Source organism: Homo sapiens, chromosome 3, assembly GCF_000001405.40.
Source record: "Homo sapiens chromosome 3, GRCh38.p14 Primary Assembly".
Lineage (NCBI taxonomy): Eukaryota > Metazoa > Chordata > Mammalia > Primates > Hominidae > Homo > Homo sapiens.
In genome coordinates, this window is record NC_000003.12 from 32,296,981 (window position 1) to 32,314,251 (window position 17,271).

The window sequence follows — 17,271 nt, forward strand, 5'->3', positions numbered from 1 at the left end:
GTGTGTTTGCTCTCATAGGATGGTTGTTTTTCTGGAAGGTTTGTGGTCTAGCCATTGAACAGAGAGAAAAACATCCCCTTAGGATGTGTTGATGCAAAAAGATGATTTTAGAAAAATTGCCCTCTGGGTTCAAAGAAAGATTACATCATTTCCTCACCTTGAATGTACACAGTCTAGGGATATCTAAACTTTATTTTTTTAATTTATTTATTTTTGAGATGGAGTTTCACTCTTGTTGCCCAGGCTGGAGTGCAGTGGTACAATCTCGGCTCACTGCAACCTCCACCTCCTGGGTTCAAGTGATTCTCCTGCCTCAGCCTCCCAAGTAGCTGGGATTACAGGCGCCCGCCACTGCACCCAGCTAATTTTTGCATTTTTTAGTAGAGGTGGGGTTTCACCATGTTAGCCAGGTTGGTCTCCAACTCCTGACCTCAGGTGATCCACCCACCTATGCCTCCCGAAGTGTTGGGATTACAGGCGTGAGCCACCGTGCCTGGCCTGTACCTAAACTTTTGATGAGGCTATTCTTATCTGTGAACCAACATTTGTGACTAAAGCTCACCTTGGGGAATACAGTGGTAACCTTGCACAGAGAATGCTGTGGCTAGCAGCAGCCCCGTCTGGGGTGGCGCAGACACTCCAGGCTGCTTTGTCTGTCTGAAATCCCAGCAGTGTCATCACAGCATCTTGTGCAAAACATTGATGGTGAAAGATAACAATTTCTTCTATTGCTCACCAGCCTCATTTGGAAAGTTAATTACCAGCTTGTGGAAGTTAAGGAAAGACAAGTTCTTAAACTCAGGGGGATTTGGCATTTTAAAATACAGGTCTGTGGGTGGGAAAATAAGGTTTGTGTGTGGGAAGGATTTGGGAAAATGGACTGAGTGTTAATTTAAGGACTTGAAGTGTTTATGAGGGAACCCTGGATAAGAATAACATTTTAAAAATTGGAGATGATGAGAAACTCAAGCACCAAGGTAAAGAAGTCTGGCTTGTGTTCTTCAACTGGTTTCATGGTCATCAGCAGCAGCCATTGCTCAGAACTCCAACAAAAGCTCTCTAATCTCTTAACTAAAAACTTTTTTTTTTTTTTTGGTTGGGGGTGGGGGGCAGTGGCTGGAGTCTCGTTCTGTCGCTGAGGCTGGAGTGCAGTGGCACAATCTGGGCTCACTGCAACCTCTGCCTCCCAGGTTCAAGCAATTCTATCTCAGCCTCCCCAGTAGCTGGGACTACAGGCTCCCACCACCATGCCCAGCTAATTTTTGCATTTTTGGTAGAGACAGGTTTTGCCATGTTGGCCAGGCTGGTCTCAAACTCCTGATCTCAAGCAATCCACCCGCATTGGCCTCCCTAAGTGCTGGGATTACAGGCGTGAGCCATCACGTCCAGCCCCTAATTAAAAACTCTATATAAATATTTGAGGATCTAAAATACAGAGATACTATAAACATACCCCCCTTTTTTTTTTTTTTTTTTTACTTTCTGAAATCTTTCATTCTCTTTAAAAAATTTCAGAATGAGCACTCTTGGTCTCTTTCCAGGGCGATCCTTGCTAGATATTTTTCTTATATCCAGCTTCTGCTAATTAAATTGAAACAATCCTGACTTCATATTTCACTTGCTCTCCTATCATTCGGCTCCTTATCAGATTGCTGCTTTTTAAAAAAAATTTTGAGACAGGGTTTCACTCTGTCACCCAGGCTGGAGTGCAGTGGTGCGATCTCAGCTCACTGCAGCCTTCTCCTGAGCTCCAGCAATCCTCCCACCTCAGCTTCCCAAGCAGCTGGGACTAGGGGCATGCGCCACCACACCCAGCTAATATATATATATATATACACGTGTGTATGTGTATATATATGTGTGTGTGTATATACACACACACATATATATACACACACATACATATATATACACACATACACACACACACACATACACACACACATATATATATATATATGTATATATATATATATTTTTTTTTTTTTAGAGACAGGGGTCCAGGCTATGTTGCCCAAGCCGCTCTTGGACTTCTGGGCTCAAATGATCCTCCCACCTCAGCCTCCCAAACAGTTGGGATTATAGACACGAAACACTGTGCCCCGCTCAGATTGCTGCTTCAAATCCCTCTTGGGATCACACCTCAAAGAGTCCTGACGTATTTTCATAGAAAACAGCCCATGGGCCTAGAGCCTGTATTATCATACAGTGTAAGGTGAGAAAATTTCAAGGCACGATTTCCAAATGTTAATTTTTCTTCCTTCTACTCCTTCCTTTTGGAGAAGAATTTAAAAGGGACCATTGGTTTGAATCAATGAAAATATTGGCTTAGGTTACTCTGTATTTTGTAAACTTGTTGAAGTACTTGGTTTAACCATTGAAATGCCAAGATTCTATTTAGCTCAACTGTCTCTACACCAGAGATCAACTTTCCTTTTATAGGAGTCATTGATTCAAGAGGAAAATATAATCTGGTATTAGGTCATTTTTAAGAAAAATAATTTTTTAATTTTTGTGGCTACATAGTAGGTGCTTATGTACCTGGGGTACATGAGATGTTTTGATGCAGGCATGCAGTGCGTAATAATCACATCTTGGAAAATGAGGTATCTATTCCCTCATGCATTTATCCTTTGAGTTACAAATGATTCAGTTATACTCTTCTTTATTTTTAAATTTATAATTAAATTATCATTGACGGTAGTCTTCAAGAAAAATGTACTTGAAACTTAGAAAAAAGTTCAGGAAGATGACTGAGTGCCCTTTTAATATCCTACTAGAACATTGTCTGACAAACCCAGCAAAGATCATCTAATAATCTAGGGGAAAATGTAGCAATGTTTTTCTGCAGACTGCCAGATAGTAAATATTTTGGGCTTTGTAGGCCAAAATATGTACTGTCTGTAGCTACTTAACTCTGCCATCATAGTGTGAAAGCAGCCACGGGTAATACATAACTGAATGGATACAGCCACTGTAGGTGCTGAAAAGGGATGATGCCTTTCTTCTCCATCATAAAAATCATGGCCAGCACCTCTATAACAAAAAGGTTAACAGACAAAAGCATAACACATTTCTTTGATCATACTTTTGCGTGACACAGCAGTCTTCAGATCGAAGACCCAAAGATACAGGGGAAGCTATCCATTTTTATGCTTCAGTTTGATGATGAATGGATAGCTGTGTGGAACTGTGGTTGGACCAAAAGGGTGTGATCTAATGCTAATAGGCTGAGCGGGGGAACCCAGCAAGGGCTGTCTGTTCAGATTCTTCTTGGACTCTCTGCAGCATAATTTCCTTCCAGGTATGGGGCAGGACCCTTTCTGGAATGGGGGTCTTATGAACTACAACCAAACAAGGTCAGTCAGATTATTTCTTTGTGGCCAATTCTTACACAGAAAAGTAGGGGAAATTTTTAGATTTTATGGCTGGCTTTGGGGAAAAGGGTTTTGGTTTCCATGATCTCCATTGGGGAAGAGGGATTCTAATATCTGTGCTTGCCTTTTTGGGGGAAAGGGGGAATGAGGCTGAGAGGCAAGCAGGACAAGGTCAGAGAAAAACTGCTTCTGAGCCCTTACTTTAGGGTATTGTCTTCTGAGCCCTAACACTGTTCCAATAAAACTTTATTTAGAGACACTGAAATTTGGATTTCATAGCATTTTCATATTTCATTTTATGTTATAAAATATTCTTTTAGGCTGGGCACGGTGGTTCACGCCTGTAATCCCAGCACTTTGGGAGGCTGAGGTGGGTGGATCACCTGAGGTCGGGAGTTCAAGACCAGCCTGACCAACATGGAGAAACCCCATCTCTACTAAAAATACAAAAAATTAGCTGGGCGTGGTGGCACATGCCTGTAATCCCATTTACTTGGGAGGCTGAGGCAGGAGAATTGCTTGAACCTGGGAGGCGGAGGTTGTGGTGAGCCGAGATTTTGCCATTGCATTCTAGCCTGGGCAACAAGAGTGAAACTCCATCTCAAAAAAAAAAAAAAATCTTTTAATTTTTTTCAACCATTTAAAAATATAAAAATCATCCTTCACTTGCAGGTCTTATAAAAACAAATGGCTGAGATTAATAAATTGCAAATGATTTTTGTCCAGTTAAGATGGGAAGGATTTCTTATGGCAGAAAAGGAGCATCAGGGGTACTGCTATATGCCAGGTAGGACATTAACCCGGTTTGTTTCTAAGTTTCCAGCCTTATCCCGGCATTCATCTTTCCACAGATTTTTTGCCCTACTTAGGTTTCTGTGCCATCCACCTTTGAGCCAGCTTTGTCATTCTGCTTAAGTTGACAAACTCATCAAGTTACAGAATCTTTAGCATATGCATACTCTATATGAGTCAAGAGCTGACCTTTTCAAAAAAAAATTATACTTTGACAGCTGTATATATATATATAAAGCAACATAAGACATTTTAAATAACAATATATAAATTTCTATCCTGTTGTTTTTAAAACTAGAAACAGGGCAATTAAATAATCATTCAATATATGGGCAAAAGGATTCCACCTTATCTTTCCCTCCTGCCAGTGGTGCAGAAAGTGGTCAAGGGAGAGTGGTGGATGAAGAGGGATAGGGGAGACACAGCCCTTGGGAGGGGTCCTCTGTCTACCTGGACTTGATCAAGCTGCAGTATGACTCATCCCGGCATCGGTGACATTGCACTGGGGATTCCTGAAATCTCATACAGTTTTCCATGAATGATTTTGGTTTCCATCCAGCAGTTCTTATCATTGATATGAAACAAAAAAAAAAAAAGAAAGAAAAATAGTATTTTTCAGAGGGCATTGGTGTGAAAAGGCAGGTGATGTCAGAGAACATTGGACTGAGTGTCAAGAGGTTTCCATTTCGAGTCTGGCTAACCAGCCATGTGACATTGGGTAAATCACAGTACTTTTGTTTTTGCATATGTCAAATGAAAAGCTTGAATTCATAGTCATTAATATTCTTTCTGGTGCTAAAATTTTTGCAACAAAAATAGAATAGACCCAAATTCCTTTCGGTGGAATTAAGAGTGATCACTGATTGCTGACTTTTTTTTTTTTCTTAATAAGAATAGCATAGGCCAGACATGGTGGCTCATGCCTGTAATCCCAACGCTTTGGGGGGCCAAGGCAGGAGACCAACATGGGCAATTCCTGTCTCTACAAAAAAAAAAAAATTTAATTAGCTGAAATGTGGCACGTGTCATAACTACTTGGAGGTGGGGGCTAAGGTGGGAGGACTGCTTGAGCCCAGGAATTGGAGATGCCGTGAGCTATGATTGCACCACTGCACTCTAGCCTGGGTGACAAAGACCTTGTCTCAGAAACAAAACAAAATACCCCCACAAAATAACTACCTTGAAGTTAATTCTTTATTGGAACAAGTAGCACAGCATTGGATAGAAAAGTACAAAATGCAATTTTCTGCCTCTGTATGCTGTTCAGTTTATGGTTGTTCCCGACATCTTAGGTCACTTTCCAGTTCAAAGTTAGTTTTAAGTCTGAGAGCAAAGATTTCCTTGCCTAAGGGAGGATTAGATGAAACAAGGCTCCCAAAAGGCGATTGGCCCCCTGACAAAGCTGGAACAGTGGTGAGACAGATGGAAGTAGAAGAGAAGGAATCAGAGGCCCTTTTGAATTTAGAAGTGGACTTGTGAGTGCTAGGATTTCCCTGGGTTTTTCAAGCCCAGAGAAGAAATTGGAGCAAATTTCACAAGGCATGGGTTTTTCACCTATTTGAGGAGGTGAGGGATCTGTTGAGAAAAGAAGAAAGCTAAGGTCCCTCTCCTTGGAAACCTGTGCGCACACACACGAAGTGTATGAAGTACCTGTGCGCATACACACCAAGTACCTGAAGTCTGTAACTTCAGGATCTTTTAAGACCCATGGCATGAAGAGATTGGCTGAATTTGAACAAAGGAACCCTGGGGCATTAGATGTAGAACTTTGTTGTCTTTGGAGAGAGACCTGGTCTCACACTTAAATACCCAGGTGGCCCCATTTTGTTTTATTAAACCAATTTCGTCTCTTTGACCCCCAGCTCTTACAATCACATGCCCGATTGCACAGCTTTCTCCCTTCCAGCAAATCCTTTTTGATCACTATTACATAAACTCTAAATTGAGTGTCCAAATTGCAGGCGTCTAGGATCCAAAACAAATGTAGGTTGCAAATAAGTAAGGTTTTTAAAAAAGATCTTTGTCTTCTTAAGTTGCTGATAGTTACTGCTTGCTGGGAACTGTAGGCCTTTCCTGGCAAGATTTCTCAACATTCTCTTGAGAGCAGTTGTGTTAACAAGTTATGAAGATTACTTTAATGCTTTGCTTGGAATTCATTTCGTATCTGCATAAATCTTCAAGGCCATTATCATATCAGTGAGATATTTCTAGTATTTTTGAGAACTCTGATGCATCAAAATGTCTGAGTTCAGCTCGTTCTTAATGTGGTGACAGGGTCAAATGTGTTGGTTTAGATTCAGGTGTTTCGTTTTTGTTTTTATCTTATGCCTCCAAACACTTAAAAGTAAATTGGGTCGCTTATCTTCAAATTTGAGGCAGGAAATACTGTTTGGTTCTCATACTTTCTTCCCGTATGTTTCATTTCTGAAACATTCTGGCTTGTTTACACATTGATGGTAACCGAGCTTCCCCCCTCCCCCTCCCAACTGTAATTTTGAAAAATTTCAAATCTGCAGGAAAGTAGAACAATATAGACTCCTTCGCTTAAATTTTGTAGACTCCTCACTTACATTTGCCAGCTCACATTTTTTTACATCTGGTTTCTCTCGCTGTGTGAATGTGTGTGATCTTATTTTTGTTGTGGTTGTTGTTAAACCACTGGGAAGTTGCAGGCCTGACATTTATTCCCTAGGTATTTCAGTATGTATTTACCAAAAATCATTAAATAACTATTAAATTATTTAAATTAATTGTAATACCTTCATCACACTCAAGGAATTTAGCATCAATTCACTAATATGTGATGCAGTCCATATTCAAATTTTCTACTTTGTCCCAAGAATGTCCTTTACTTCAGCCTTTTGTTTGAGGATCCAGTCAAGGATCGACAGATTTCTTTTAGTTGCCATGTTTCTTTAGTCACCTTTAATCTAGAAAAATCCTCAGCCTGTTAGACCATTTGGGTAAGAATACAGCCCAGGTGGTGCTGGCATGTATCTGGTTGTGATCGCATGATAATTGGTTGTACCAAAATCAGTGTTGCTAAGTTTGGTCACTTAGTTACAGTAGCATCTGCCAGGTCTTATAAAAGGGACCCTATTCTCATGTAAAAGTTTGGGTGTTGGCAGGGGGCTGAAAATGGGTGTCCTATTCTGAGACAAGGAGAATGAATTTTCCCCCAACAGCCTTGGCCTCTCTGATTGTAACATCCACTGATGTTCTTCTCAGCTGTACTTTGATTTGTTGTTGGAGATGGCATGGGGGAAAGGAAAAGTATAAAGGAAATGTATTCCAGCAGATCTTTGTAGAATCAATTCCATTGCTCCTTTATTTGTATAGTTACAAGAAATGAATGATGTGAGTGCTCTGTATTTTCTAGATTGTCATACTCAATCTATATGAACAAAAGAAGCTTAGTTTACTTCTGTCTCTCCATAGAGAAACCTCCAAGGCAAATATTTGTCTGGAGTTAGTAGCCTGCAATGATTACCGAAGGTCCAGATGAGGTTATTAAAATGCCTGGTGTTTGCCCTGGTGGCACACACAAGATAAATGAGGCAGAATTCTTTCAGCTTGGTTACATGTTGGTTTTTCATGTTCCAGTTAATAGTACAGAGTAGGAACATCTGCTTTAGCAGGTCCAGCTAGATAAACAGCTTCTGCAGTATAACAGAAATCAGCAGCCTATGCCATTGACTTAAGGAGACAGATTTAAACTTTGTAAATAAAAGGTTTGACTAAAGCTTATGAGGAGGAATATTTCTGCATAGATGAGAAAGCTCAAGTGAATTTTGTATTTAATCTTTCCCCATAGGGTAGTGAACTAAAACATTAGTTTTGGGCTAGTGGCTGAGAACCATCTCTTTAAGACAGAAATATTTTGGCAATCTAAATCTCCCTTGGGCGGCATTAGGTAGAGAGTGATGTAATTCCTAATCTCAAACATTTTTGTTTCAAACATATTAAATGTTTCTACAAAGCCATCTTCGAGTTGTGGCTTTATGGACTCAAGCGGCTAAGGCAGTGGTTCTCAGTCAGGGTGCAGTTTTTTTCCCTAGGGAACATTTGGTAATGACTGGAGGCTTTTTTTTTTTTTTTTCAGACGGAGTCTCGCTCTGTCACCCAGGCTGGAGTGCAGTGGCGTGATCTCTGCTCACTGCAAGCTCAGCCTCCCGGGTTCACGCCATTCTCCTGCGACTGGAGACATTTTTGATTGTCACAACTAGGAGGGTGGTATTGGCATCAGGTACAAAATGTCACTGATGGCAAGGTTGGAAAAACTGCTTTACAGGATAGAAAGTTATTTTACTGACAAATATGTGCAGTGTATGAGATACTGGGTGTTCCAAGAAAATGAAGTCCTGGACCCTGCCTTCAAAGCTGGTTATATCACAGCTGTTGACAATCACAAAACTATGGTAAATACACTTTCTTATTCATCTACGAGCCTTAATGATCTGAGAGGAGATGGCACAGCAGGCTATAAGTAGGAGCCCCATTTGGGCTGGGACTTACCAGATGAGTAGGCATTAGTAAGTGTGGAGGGTTGAGAAATCCCACTCTTCAGTTCATACAGCATCATCATTGTTCCATGGAGGCCTCTTATTGTTTCCTCATTTGTGCCTCCTTTCCTCCATGCCACTGGCAACCATATTCGTGGGTTAAATATAACAGAAATCTTTAATTTTGCATGTTTTTAAAAAATAAAATGTGTATTGACTGTAGATAACTTATGTAGATGGAATTGTGTTAAGATATCTCATTCAGTTCTTTTCCAGTTAACCCTATGCTATTAAAATCAATTCATGTTGCTATGGATCCATCTATTCTGTTGCTTTGAATTGCTTTCCTGGTACTCCTTGGAGTGTGTAGCAGTTAGTATGCTTTGTGATGAACCATCCCAAACTTAGTGACTTAAAACAATGGTCACTCCTTTTTCGTGAGTCTGTGGGGTTGGTTGAGTGGTTTGGCTGATTTGTGTCTGGGTCTGCTGATCTCAGCTGGTGTCACTCATTCATCTGTGATCTGCTGGAGACTGCATGATTTAAGAGGTCCATGGCACATTGTTGTCATCCTTCATCAGTTTGGCCTAAACTTGGTCACCTGATGGCAAGGCCAGGAATCCAAGGGAGGAGAATTGTGCAAGGCCTATACTTGGAACTTGACCACAGTCATTTCTGCCATATTCTGTTGGCTAAACCAAGGCACGAGTCCAATCCACAAATCCAGTCTGGATTCAAAGTGTGGGGAAATAGACTCCACCACTTGATGGGAGGAACTGAAAAGCGACATTGCAAAGGGATGGTTATAGGGAGTTTAATTAGAGCCATTGATTAGTCAGAGTATGCATCCACCACCTTTTGCCTATTCACTCTTCCAGTGATGGAAGCCAAAGTTGATTCCAACTCTGGAAGCTGTGATAAATATCTTTGTACATGTCACCTTGTGGAGCTGTTTGATAATTTGGAAGCTATATTCTCAGGAGTAAGATTGCTGAGGCAAATGGTTACATCTACCTGGAATGTCTATAGGAACAGCAGAAGATGAGACTGGATACTTCCTTGTTGAGAAGTTGGGATTTGGTGCTAAGGTTTAGTGGGCAACCTTGAGTTTTAGGTAAGGTTAATGCATTTAGACTCATGTTTTAGAGGGATTATCTTGGCAATAGTGTGAGGGTTGGAAGAGACGGGTACTACATTAGGTCCTTGGGTGCCTCATTGGAAGCTGACTTAGGCCAGCTGAGAATCTGAATTAAGGTCATAAAAATGGAGAGAAGATGCCAGGCACAGTGTCTCACGCCTGTAATCCCAACACTTTGGGAGGCCGAGGTAGGTGGATCACGAGGACAGGAGTTTGAGACCAGCCTGGCCAACATGGTGAAATCCCGTCTCTACTAAAAATACAAAAATTAGCTGGGCATGGTTGTGGATGCCTGTAATCCCAGCACTTTGGGAGGCCGAGGTAGGTGGATCATGAGGACAGGAGTTTGAGACCAGCCTGGCCAACATGGTGAAATCCCGTCTCTACTAAAAATACAAAAATTAGCTGGGCATGGTTGTGGATGCCTGTAATCCCAGCTACTCGGGAGGCTGAGGCAAGAGAATCACTTGAAACCGGAAGGTAGAGGTTTTCAGTGAGCTGAGATCGCACCACTGCACTCCAGCCTGACCGACAAGAGCGAAACTCCATCTTAAAAAAAAAGAGAAGGTAGAATCAACCTGACCTGGTGGCTGACTGGATGAGGGAAAAGCAGGAGTCTAGGATGACTTCCTGGTTTCTGTCTTGGGTAGGTGGGGAGATGGTGTTGGCATGAGTTGCTGGGAATGAGGGAGAAAGAACAGATCCTCGGGGAGATGATAAGTAAGTCCTTTTTGGGCAGCATTCAGTATAGGAGACTGTGGAGTGGCAAGGCAGAGATGGCCAGAGAGCATACTTGCATGTGTAGGTATGTAGCTTGAAGAGAAGTCGAGGTTAAAGATGAAGATGTGGGAATTTCCAGTCAATGGGAGGAGGTGACTGCTAGGGGTGGGTTTGTCTAAGGCAATGGTTCTCAAACTTTAGCTGCATCAGAATCACCTGGAAGGTTGTTAAATCGGAGCTCCCCAGGCCCCACCCCCAGAGTTCCTGAGTCAGTAGATCTGGAGTGGAGCCATAGAATTTGCATTCTAACAAGCTTCCAGGTGACGTTGATGTTGCTGGTCTGGGACCACACTTTGAGAGCCAGTCTGGGGCAAAAGTACAAATGGAGAAGGCCCTGGCAGGCCATGTTCAAGGAGTGGGCAAAGGGAAATAAGTCAGCAAAGGCATTTAAGAGAGTTTAGGCTCTGAGAAGCCAAGAGAATACTGAGATACCCAGTTAAGACCATTCCTTTAAGCGGCTCAATTCAAAAGGAGAAGAGAGCAGAAAATAGAAGACACCACAGGGTGTTGAGGATTTTTCCTTACCATTTAATTGTTATCATAAGAGACTTAAGCATCCTTTCAGGATGAAAGAGTCACACCTCCTTCGCACTCTACCGACTCCATGTCTCTAATTTAGCACAGGGAGGCGGAGACATTCAGACTAAATGGTCCTGCTTTCCACAGCATCAGAAAACACAGAAGCAGATTCATGTCCACAGTGTGAGGGATGCTAGTGATATATTGTGAAGAAATAAAAAATCAAGCTACAGAAAAATATATTGAGTTGTCTTTATAGAGAAAAACAATTATGTGAAGTCCCCCTCCATATGTCTGCATGGTTATGCTTAAAAGAAAACAGATTTGCAGGAGAGCTCTTGAGCACACAGCTAAGCATTTCCAGCCCGCAGTTTCTTCTCCAGAACTTAGCTACTTGGATGGGACAGTGGAGAGTGCACTAGAGTTGGAAAGGGCACTGGCATGAGGAGATCGGGGCTCTATCATCGTTCATGAGTTCAGCATGACTTCACCTCTCTGTGTCTCAGTTTCTCCATCTGTAAAATGGGACTAATTATGGTACCTACCTCAGAATCATGATGAGGATTAAATAAGAATACATGGAAAGCCCTTAGAACACTGCAAGTTATGTATGAGGTACTCAAAATAGACATAATCTGCTCTTAATGTATTTTAATATGAGTTAATAGACACAATGACGCTTAGTGAACTTTAATATATATTATCCATTAGATCCTATGGTGCAACTGTCACATGAAAATAAGGTGGTAACATCTCTAGGAACCTAAGGTTCAAAACTCAGAATTTGGGGTCACAGCAGCCCTACCATTAGAGATGCTCCTTCCTATGCTGGAAAGTCATCGTGGCAGCTCTGTATCAACCATGACCAAAAGGGATTGGCCCCTGTCTTCAGACACCCATCGTCCTTGAGGTTATGGCACTATGAGGTTGGGAGAATCAGGAGGTTTGAAAGGTCATTGGATGTTTCTTAGTGAGAACTGGGTGTCCTGGGGAGTGCTGAGTCTGGGTCATATGTACGCATGTGTACCAAGTTGCTCATCTCCAGACAAGCATCCTTAACACACTCACTGCTGGTTCACAGAAATGGGTGGAGGGTGGTGGGGCAGAGCATTGCCTGGGCCTTTCTAGACTTGGTGCTGTGGGAAGACCAGCTGATTTGGGTTTAAACTTGGAAGGGCTCAAGCATGGCTGAGCTCTCAACCAATTTACCAATTTTTTTTTTTTTTTTTTTTTTTTCGAGACAGAGTCTTGCCCTGTCGCCCAGGCTGGAGTGCAGTGGTACAATCTCAGCTCACTGCAACCTCCACCTCCCGGGTTCAAGTGATTCTCATGTCTCAGCCTCCTGAGTAGCTGGGATTACAGGTGTGCACCACCACGCCCGGCTAATTTTTGTATTTTTAGTAGAGACAGTGTTTTGCCGTCTTGGCCAGGCTGGTCTCGATGTCCTGACCTCAGGTGATGCACCTGCCTCGGCTTCCCAAATGCTGTGATTGCAGGCATGAGCCACCATACCTGGCCAACCAATTTTTTTTCTTATGCCCCCGTGCTGGACTCTTGTGTCCATGTAGTGTTCCAGACTTATAGAACCTAGGTGTCTCACTTTTCCTCAAAGTCGGTCATGCTTTCAGTAACTTGGCTATTCTGATTGAGCCTGTGGTTCATCAGAAGTCCAGAACAGATGTTCATACCCTGTGTTAGCCCTGTCTGTGCTCTTGGGGTTTATGATTTCCTAAGTCACAGTAGGGGATGGGAGCTTTATGCAGGGAGGCCCTCTCGTACTGCGGGCATCCTGAACTTTCGATGGGAATGTCTGTTCACTGCCCCCAGGCATCAGATGACTGAGTTCAGTCACCCTCAACCTTGCCTGGTCAGCCCTGCTTTCTGCAGGACCATTTGAGGTTCTCACAGCCAGTCTTTATTTTCACAGCTCAGTTTTTAGAAAAGAGGAAGCAAATTAAGGACATCTCAAAATGAGACTAAGTGAACACAGGAGATCCATCCATTCTGATTTTTACTGTTCTCATGTGTAGAAAGGAGTAGTGGGGCTGTGGATGATTTTTAAAATTGTGGTTTTTTTTTTCTGTAAATCGAATTTATCAAGGCTAAAGTGTGGCTTTGAAATTAGGTACTCAACTGTAGGGACAAATTTGGGAGATGGCTCTCCAAAGGAATCCCATCAGATTCCAGCGTGGCAGAATTCTAGAGCAAAGGGATTTTGCTGGCACTGTCAGGCTTCAGCTTAAATTTACAGTTCAGCTGTGTTTTTGCTCCAAGAAAAAAATATACCTGAGCTGTAGATACACTGTCTGGAGATGCTTTAGAGATCTCCCATCCAGTAAATAACATCTTAATGGGAGGCCTTGTCCTTGCCAATGAGGGGTGCCAAAGGAAGAAATGAGTTCAAGTAAACTAGGCCGGACTTAAAAATAGCTGTTTACTACTTTCTCCTAGGGTTATTTTCCTGCAGCGCGAGGAAGAAATCATACTGCGAGGCTCAACACAGCAATCGTGTGTGCCATTTCCTCCCAGGAACCTGAGAATTTCTCTGCCAGGATTATCCTTATGGTCAGCTATGGGCTCATGCTTTTGAGTGGTGCCAGGTGCAACTCTGAATGTCTAAATAAACTAGGAAATACTCTGACTTGTTTTATAGGATTGGTTTGCATTTTCAGGTTATACAAGTATAAAGAATTGTGAATTGTAGAAAGTTGGAGGAAAACATAGAAATTTGGAAATACACAAAGTTGGAAAAAAATGTTAAACACCTATGCTGCTATAATTTTTGCTTTTCTTTCTGGACATTTTTAGAGCATATGCTTAATATTTCAGTAATTAATGATGGTTATGATAAAGACAAGGTAAACAATTGGACCTGTCTTTCAACAAGTGAATGAATAAACAGTTGTGGCATAGCCAACAATACTGCACAGCAATGTAAATTACTAATGTAAACGACCTGGATGAATTTTAGACATTGTGTTGAATCAGAAGCCAGACACAAAAGAGTATATACGGTATCGGGGATGGTCAGCAAACCACAGCCTACAGGCCAGACCCAGCCCATGACGTGTTTTTGTGTGACCCGCAAGCTAAGAATGACTTTTATATTTTTTAACGGTTGCGGAAAAAATTAAAACAAGAATACTGTTTTGCAGTTTGTAAAAAATTATATGCAATTCAAATTTCAGTGTCTACAAATAGTTTTATTGGAACACAGCCATTCACTTGTGAACTGTCTATAGCTGCCTTTGTGCTCCAAGGACAGAGTTGAATCATTGTGACAGAGACCGTATGGCTGCAAAGCTTAAAATATTTGCCATCTGGCAGGACTTCGCTCCTTCTGGAGGCTCTAGGAGAGAATTGGTTCCCTTGTCTCTCCAGCTGCCTTCCTGGGCTCATGGCTCCGTTCCACTCTCCCGACTCGTTTTTCACCTTTGTGGACCCTTGTGACTATATCAGGCTCATCTCGTAATCCAGGAGAACTTCCTCACTTTAAGATTCTTAATCCCATGTGCAATGTCCTCTTTGCCATGTGAAACTCCTGTTTCCTCTCTAGTATTCATAGTCAGCCCACTTCTGTGGCCACATGTGTAGTTCTTTTTCCCCCCACACCAACCGATTCTCCACCAGCTGGATGTCCTATAAATCAATTCAATTCTGACACTAACTGGAGTTAGCACAGATCCCACAGGTTGAAGTCTCAGTCCCACCAGACTGCCCCTGCCCACTTCAAACGCCAATTGCAAGTAGTAGGTCCTGTTGACCTAAAGGAAGAAACTGAGGCAAATTAACACAGGTAGAGAATTGCTTTGGGATAAGTTGATGACTGCAGCCCGGGAAGCACTGGGAAGTCCTCTGGAGAACAAAAGAGAGGCTTCAGCTTTTAAAGAAAAAAGGATGACTCAGAGGAGGGGCGATTATAAAAATTGTTTTCAAGAATTCTCCTTGGTTTACGGAAGTAACATTGATGAGAGATTGGCTATACTTTGTTGAACTACAGGGTATGGGTTATGGTATCCAGTGTATGGCATTGTTACGTTAATTTATAGCTATTTGTGGCGTCAGTCTAGAGCCCTCATAGCAAGCAACTCGGAGATGATTACTTAGTTCAAGGGCAGAGGGGTAAGATGTGACCCCTGAAATGAAATGTCTCATTTCAATGCCTCCCTAGGCTTGATAATTTAAAGGGGGCCCGCATCCCTCAGATAAAAAGTTTCTTTTCTTTCTCAGTCCCCAGGTAATCCCACAATTTCTGTCTGACTTAGCTACAAATTGGCAGTTCCTGTGACCCCCACCTCAGGTACAATCACTTGCTAGAACAGCTCACAGAACTCAGGAAACACATTTACTGTAAAGGATATTACAAAGGATACAGATGAACAGCCAGAAGCTGAGGTACCCAGGGCAAGGCATGTGGGCAGGGGTGTGGAGCAGGAGCTGTGTCCCCATGGAGTTGGGGGTCACCACCCTCCTGGCATGTGAACATGTTCTTCCTCACCAACCTTGAAGCTCTGCAAACTCTGTCCTTTGAGGTTCTTATGGAGGCTGCATGACAGAAGCACGCTAGATTAAATCACTGGCCATTGGTGATCAATTCAATCTTCAGTCCCTCTTCCCTACCCAGAGGTTGGGATGTCGGGCTGAAGGTTCTAACCCTCTAATCACATGATTTGTGCCCCCTAGCAACCGCCCCCGATCCTGTGGTGGTTATCTAGTAGCTTTCCAGAAATCACCTTATTAACATAAACTCAGATGTGGTTGAAAGGGGCTTGTTATTAAATAACAAGACTTTTTTTCACCTTTATTGGTCCAGGGCTGTTCCAGGAACCAAGGACAAAAGACCAAATCTTATAATAAAAGATATTCCTATTGCTCTAATCACTTAGGAAATTATAAGGGTTTTAGGAGCTATAAGGCAAGAACTGTGGATGAAGACCAAAATGTATATCTTATTATATCACAGTATCACACCATGTAAGGTAACATATTCATGGGTTCTGAGGATCAGGGCATGAACATCTCTTGGAGGCCATTATTCTGCCTAGCACTGATGGAGACAGGAGGCAGCCAACTCCTGCCCCTGGTGAAACCCCACCTTAAGCCTAAAACAGCCTGAAAACTGAAAAACCAGACTGCTGGTCCCGAATGAAGCCCGCTCTTTCCCGACGGATTCTTTCTGAGTAATGTCCACCTGAGCACTGGGAGAACAGGGTGGGGCCTTGGAAATTTCATGCTATTTGCAGCAGGGGGGAGCCTAGCATTTCGTATTCCTGTGTAGTGAGCTGGGATTCAGTCAGTGAGGTGGAGAGCCTGTTAGCAGGCTCCCACCTCAGCCTCCTGTGTAGCTGGAACTACAGGCTCATGCCACTATGCCCGGCTAATTTTTTGGTATTTTTAATAGAGAAGGGGTTATGCCATGTTGCCCAGGCTGGTCTCAAACTCCTGAGCTCAAGCAAGGTGCCCACCTTGGCCTCCCAAAGTGCTGAGATTACAGGTTTGAGCCACCAGGCCTGGCCCAGCATCCAAATCTCTTGGAGAAATTGTTAAAAATGCAGACATCTGGGACCCATCCCAGAACTACTGGGTCAGAATCTCTGGGGGTTTAGTGCTCTGGAATCCGTGTTTAGCAAGTTACAGGTAACTGATACACTTTGCAAAGCACTGCTTTAAAAGACCAGGTGAAGAGGGAAGAGTGGGAGGAAGAATGACTCATTGTGCTGTTATAGAAAAAAACCATGTTCTTGTCACACGACCAGGAAAGATTAGGCTCGTGGACACATAGAAGGGTGAGGAGTGGAATTTACTGGGTGAAAATTTACTGCTTGAGCCTGGGAGGTTGAGGCTACAGTGAGCCATGATCGTACCACTGCACTCAAGCCTGGGTGACAGAGCGAGACCCTGTCTCAGAAAAAAAGATCTGGATGCCAGTACTCTCTAAGCATCATAAAGGAAGATGACTCAGTCTCAGAGAAGCTGCCGAGGCTAGTTCCTGGAGAGGGTTCTACAGGATCTATTTCTCATTTTGGAGGCTAGTACAGCTGCAGTAGCAGCTACACCCTACAAAAGTAAAGCATCATTACTTTGTTCTCCATCAACCATTGGGCCCTCTGGAGAAAGGGGAGCAGTGTGAGTTAAGAAAAGGGCAACCTTGTTATTCTGTGGT

The 17,271-nt window shown here is 42.6% G+C and overlaps 1 protein-coding gene across 5 annotated transcripts in view; it reads left to right on the forward strand.

The window, feature by feature from the left end:
* The window catches only part of CMTM8 (CKLF like MARVEL transmembrane domain containing 8), a 132,130-nt gene that overhangs the window by 58,789 nt on the left and 56,070 nt on the right, over positions 1-17,271 (forward strand). The window contains exon 1 of one of the 5 annotated variants that reach the window (XM_047447513.1): positions 8,338-8,587. The exons of the other annotated variants lie outside the window; for them this stretch is intronic. Within the exon in view, the coding sequence (XP_047303469.1) occupies positions 8,423-8,587 (165 nt within the window). The 5' untranslated portion in view covers positions 8,338-8,422. Of the gene's footprint in view, positions 1-8,337; positions 8,588-17,271 lie in introns of those variants that run through there. 5 annotated transcript variants of the gene reach the window in all.